General features: G+C 39.0%; 1 annotated feature.

The window, feature by feature from the left end:
- Nucleotides 1,183-1,967: an enhancer, noted in NCBI's record as "OCT4-NANOG hESC enhancer chr10:42816107-42816891 (GRCh37/hg19 assembly coordinates)". NCBI's record gives its function as "activates a minimal SCP1, AML or CMV promoter by ChIP-STARR-seq in primed H9 embryonic stem cells {active_cell/tissue: H9 hESC(primed)}" and the evidence as "EXISTENCE:reporter gene assay evidence [ECO:0000049][PMID:30033119]".

The following is a 6,000-nucleotide window of genomic DNA, read 5'->3' as shown; positions in this document are numbered from 1 at the left end:
AGTGATTCTGTCTAGTTTTTATACGAAGATATTTCGTTTTCTACCATAGGCTTCAAAGCACTCTAAGTATACACTTGGAAGTTCTACAAAAAGGGTGTTTCAAAACTGCTTTTTCGAAAGTAAGGTTCAACTCTGTGAGTTGAATGCACACATCCCAAAGAAGTTTCTCAGAATACTTCTGTCTTGTTTTATATGAAAAATTCCCGTTTCCAACGAAGGCCTCAAAGAGGTCCAAATATCCACTTGCAGACTTTAGAAACAGAGTGCTTCATAACTGTTCTATCAAAAGAAAGGTTAAATTCTGTGAGTTGAACGTCCACATCACAAAGTAGTTTCTGAGAATGAATCCGTCTAGTTTTTATATGAAGATATTTCCTTTTCTACCATAGGCCTCAAAGTGCTTTAAATATCCACTTGCAAATTCTACAAAAAGAGTGTTTCTAAACTGCTCTATCAAAAGAAAGGTTAAACTTTGTGAGTTGGATGCACACATCGCAAAGCGGTTTCTGAGAATGATTCTGTCTAGTTTTTATATGAAGATATTTCGTTTTCTACCATAGGCTTCAAAGCACTCTAAATACGCACCTGGAAATTCTACAAAAAGAATGTGTCAAAACTGTTCTATCGAAAGGAATGTTCAACACTGTGAGTTCAATGCACACATCACAAAGAAGTTTCTCAGAATTCTTCTGTCTAGTTTTACATGAAGAAATCCCGTTTCCAACGAAGGCCTCAAAGAGGTCCAAATATACACTTGCAGACTTTACAAACGGTGGCTCAAAGTGGCTATATCAAAAGAAAGGTTAAACTCTGTGAGTTGAACACACACAGCACAAAGCAGTTTCTGAGAATGATTCTGTCTGGTTTTTACACGAAGATATTCACTATTCTGCCATAAGTCTCAAAGCTCTTCAAATCTCCACTTACAAATTCTACAAAAAGAGAATGCAATGGAATGCAATGGAGATGAGTGGAATGGATTGAAATGGAATGGACTCGAATGGAGTGGAATGGAATGGAATGGACTCGAAAGGAATGGAAACGACTTGAATGGAATGGAATGGACTCGAATTTAATGGAATGGAATGGAATGAAATGAACACAAATGGATAGGAATGGACCCAAATAGAATGGAATGGAATTTAATGGAACGGACAATAATGGAATGGAATGGAATGGAATGGAATGGAATGGAATGGATTCAAATGGAAAAGAATTCAACAAACCCTAATGGAGTGGAATGCAAAGAATGGTTTCAAATGTAATGGAATTGAATGGACTCGAATGGAATGGAATGGAATTGAATGGTCTCGAAAGGAATGGAATGAAATGCAACGGAATGGACTCCAAAGGATTGGCATGGTGTTGACTAGAATGGAATTGAATGGAATGGACCGGAATGGAATGGATTGGAATGGAATGGACTCGAATGGAATGGAATGCTACGGATTTGACTTGAATGGAATGCAATGGAATGGATTCCAAAGGAATGTAATGGAAGGGAATGGAACGGAATGGACTCGAATGGAATGGAATGGGATAGAATGGAATGGAATGGAATGGAATGGAATGGCATGGATTCGAATGGAATGTAATGGAATGGAATACAAAGGACTCAAGTGGAATGGAATGGAAAGGAATGGACTCGAATGGAATGGAATGGAATGGAATGGAATTGAATGGAAAGGAATGGATTAGAATGAAATAGAATGGAATCTATTAGAATGGAATGGAGTGGAATGGAATCAAATGGAAAGGAATGGACACAAATGTAAAGGAATGGACTCGAATGGATTGGAATGGAATGGAGTCAAATGGAATTGAATGGAAAGGAATGGACTTGAATGGAATGGAAGGGACTCGAATGGAATGGAATGGAAGGGAATCCACTCGAATTGAATGGAATGTAATGGACTCGAATGGAATGGAATGGACCAAAATGCAATGGAACTGAATGGACCCGGATGGAATGGAATGGAATGGAATGGATACGAATGGAATGGATGGAATGGAATGGAATGGACTCGAATGGAATGGAATGGAATGGCATGGACTCGAATGGAATGGAATGGAAGGGACTCAAATGGAATGGAATGGAATGGAATTTTCTCAAATGGAATGGACTGGAATCAAATAGAATAGATTGCAATGGAATGGAATGGACCTGAATGGAATGTAATGGACTGGAATGGACTTGAATGGTAGAGAATGGAATTTAATGGAATGGACTTGAAGGTAATGGAATGGAATGAACAGAAATGGAATGGAATGGACTCGAATAGGATGGAATGGAATTTAATGGAATGGACACTAATGGAATGGAATCTAAAGGAATGGAATGGAATGGATTCAAATGGAATAGAATTCAATGGACTCTAATGGAGTGGAATGCAAAGGAATGTTCTCGAATGTAATGGTATGGAATGGACTCGAATGGAATGGAATGGAATTGAATGGTATCGAAAGGAATGCAATGAAATGCAATGGAATGGACTCCAAAGGATTGGAATTAACTCGAATGGAATTGAATGGAATGGACCAGAATGGAATGGAATGGACTCGAATGGACTGGAATACTATGGACTAGAGTGGAATGGAATGGAATGGATTCGAATGGAAAGTAATGGAATAGAATGGAAAGCAATGGACTCGAATGGAATGGAATGGAATGGAATGGAACGAAATGGAATGGAATGGAATGGACTAGAGTGGAATGAAATGGAATGGAATAGAAAGGACTCAAGTGGAATGGAATGGAATGACATGGACTAGAGTGGAATGAAATGGAATGGAATAGAAAGGACTCAAGTGGAATGGAATGGAAAGGAATGGACTCAAATGGAATGGAAAGGAATGGAATGGAATGGAAAAGAATGGAATGGAATGGACACGAATGGAATGGATTTGAATGGAATGGAATGGAATGGAATGAAATGGAATGGAATGGACACGAATGGGATGGAATGGAATGGATTGGAATGGAATGGAATGGACTCTAGTAGAATGGAATGGAGGAGAATGGACTTGAATGGAATGGAATGGACTTGAATGGAAAGGAATGGACTCAATTGGATTTGAAAGGAAAGGAGTCAAATGGAAAGGAATGGAATTGTATGTACTTGAATGGAAAGGAATGGATTTGAATGTACTTGAATGGAATGGAATGGACTTGGATGGAAAGGAATGGACTCGAATGGAATGGAATGGACTCGAATGGAATGGAATGGAATGGACTCGAATGCAACTGAATGCAAAGGACTTGAGTGGAATGGAATGGAATGCAATGGACTTGAATGGAAAGGAATGGAATGGAAAGGAGTGGACACGAATGGAAAGGAATGCAATGGAATGGTGTCGAATTGAATGGAATTTAATGGAATACAATGGAATGGAATGGAATGGACTCAAATGGAATGCAATGGATTGGAAAGGACACGAATGGATTGGAAAGAATGATCTCCATTGGTATAGAATTGAATGGACTCGAATGGAATGGAATTTAATGGACTCGAATGGAATGGAATGCAATGGAATGGATTCGAATGGAATGGAATGAAAGTACATGGACTCGAATGGAATGGAAAGGGATGGACTCGAATGGAAATGAGTAGAATGAAATCGACTAGAATGGAATGGAATGGAATGGACTCGAATGCAATGGAATGGACACGAATGAAATGGAATGGAATGGAACGTACTCGATTGGAATAGAGTGGAATTTAATGCAATGGACCTAATGGAATGGAAGGGAAAGGACTCGAAAGGTATAGAATGGAATAGAATCAAATGGAATGGAATGCAATAGAATGGATTCGAATTGAATGGAATGAACTCGAATGGAATGGAATGAAATGGATTTGACTCGAGTTGAATGGAATGGAATGGAATGGACTCGAATGAATGGAATGCAATGTAACGGAATCGAGTGGAATGGAATGGAATTTACCAGAATGGAATAGAATGGAATGGAATGGAATGGAATGGAATGGAATTGAATGGAATGCAATGGACTCGAAAGGAAAGGAATGGAATGAAATGGACTCGAATGAAATGGAATGGAATTTACTCAAATGGAATGGAAAGGACTCGAATGGAATTCAATGGAATGGACCTGAATGGAATGGAATGGAATGGAAATGAATTCAATGGAATGGAATGGCATGGAAAGCAATGGAATGGACTCGAATGGAATGGAATGGACTCGAATGGAATGGAATGGTCTCGATCAGAATGGAATGGAGCAGAATTTACTTGAATGGATTGGAATGCAATCGAATGGAATGGTAGGGACTCGAATGGATTGGAATGGAATGGAATGGACTCGAATGTAATGGAATGGAGTGGAATAGAATGGAATGGAGTTGAATGGACTTGAATGGAATCGAATGAAATGGAATGGTTTCGAACGGAATGGAATGGAATGTACTCGAATGAAATGTTTTGGAATGGAATGGACTCGAGTGGAATGGAATAGAATGGACACAAATGGAATAGAATGGAATGGAAAGAACTGGAATGGAATGAAATGCACTCTAATGAAATGTTTTGGAATGGAATGGACTCGAATGGAATGGAATAGAATGGGCACAAATGGAATAGAATGGAATGGAAAGGACTGGAATGGAATGCAATGCAATGGAATCGCATGGAATGAAATGGAATAGAATGGACTCAAATGGAATGGAATGTGCTAGAATGTACTAGAATTGAATGGAAAGGAGTGGACTCGAATGGAATGGAATGGAATCAAATGAAATGATGTGTAATGGAATGGACTCGAATGGAATGGACTCGAATGCATTGGAATGGAATTGAATGGAATGGAAAGGAATGGACCCTAATGGAATGGAATGGAATTGAATGGAATGGAAGGAAATGGAATGGAATGGACTTGAATTGAATAGAATGGAACGGAGTGGAATGGACTCGAAGAGAATGGAATGACATGGAATGGACTCGATTGGAATTGAATGGAATGTACCCAAAAGGAACGGAATGGAATGGAATGGAATGGAAAGGACTCGAAGGCAACAGAATGTAACGAACTGGAATGGAATGGATTTGAATGGAAGGGACTAGAATGGAATTTAATGGAATGGACAGGAATGGAATGGAATGCAATGGAATGGAATGGAATGGAATGGAATGGACTCGAAAGGAATGGAATGGAATTTAACAGAATGGACTCTAATAGAATGGAATGTAAAATGCACTCGAATGGAATACAATGGATTTTAATGGAATTCACTCTAATGGAATGGAATGGAATGGACTCAAATGTAATATTGTGGAATGGACTCGAATGGAATGTTATGGAATGGACTCGAATTGGGTGGAATGGAATGGACTCGAAGGGAATGGATTGAAATTGAATGGACTCAAAAAGAATGGAATGGAATGCAATGGACTGGACTCGAATGGAAGGGAATGGAATGGATTCGAATGGTTGGGAATGCAATGCAATGGACTCGAATGCAATGGAATGGAATGGATTCGAATGGTTGGGAATGCAATGCAATGGACTCGAATGCAATGGAATGGAGTTGACTCAAATGGAATTGAATGGAATGGACCCAAATGGAATGCAATGGAATGGAATGGACTCGAATGGAATGGAATGCAGTGGCATTTGCAAGAATGGAATGGAATTGGATGGATTGGATTCAAACGGAATAGAATGGAGTGGACTCAAATGACATGGGTTGGAATGGAATGGAATGGAATGGAATGGACTCAAATGGAAGAGAATAGAATGGAATGGACTCGAATGGAAAGGAATGTAATGGAATCGAATGGAATGGAATGTAATGGAATCAAATTGAACAGAATTGAATGGAATGGACTGGAATGGAATGAAATGGAATGGAATCGAATGGAATGTAATTTACTCGAATGGAATGGAATGGACTCAAATGGAATAGAATGGAATGGAATGGAGTGGACTAGAATGTAATGGAATGGAATGGATTTGAAAGGAATAGAAGGGAATGGAATTGAAAG

This window comes from Homo sapiens, chromosome 10 (assembly GCF_000001405.40).
Source record: "Homo sapiens chromosome 10, GRCh38.p14 Primary Assembly".
NCBI lineage: Eukaryota > Metazoa > Chordata > Mammalia > Primates > Hominidae > Homo > Homo sapiens.
The sequence above is the reverse complement of the archived record's forward strand: the minus strand, read 5'-3'. Positions and strand labels throughout refer to the sequence as shown.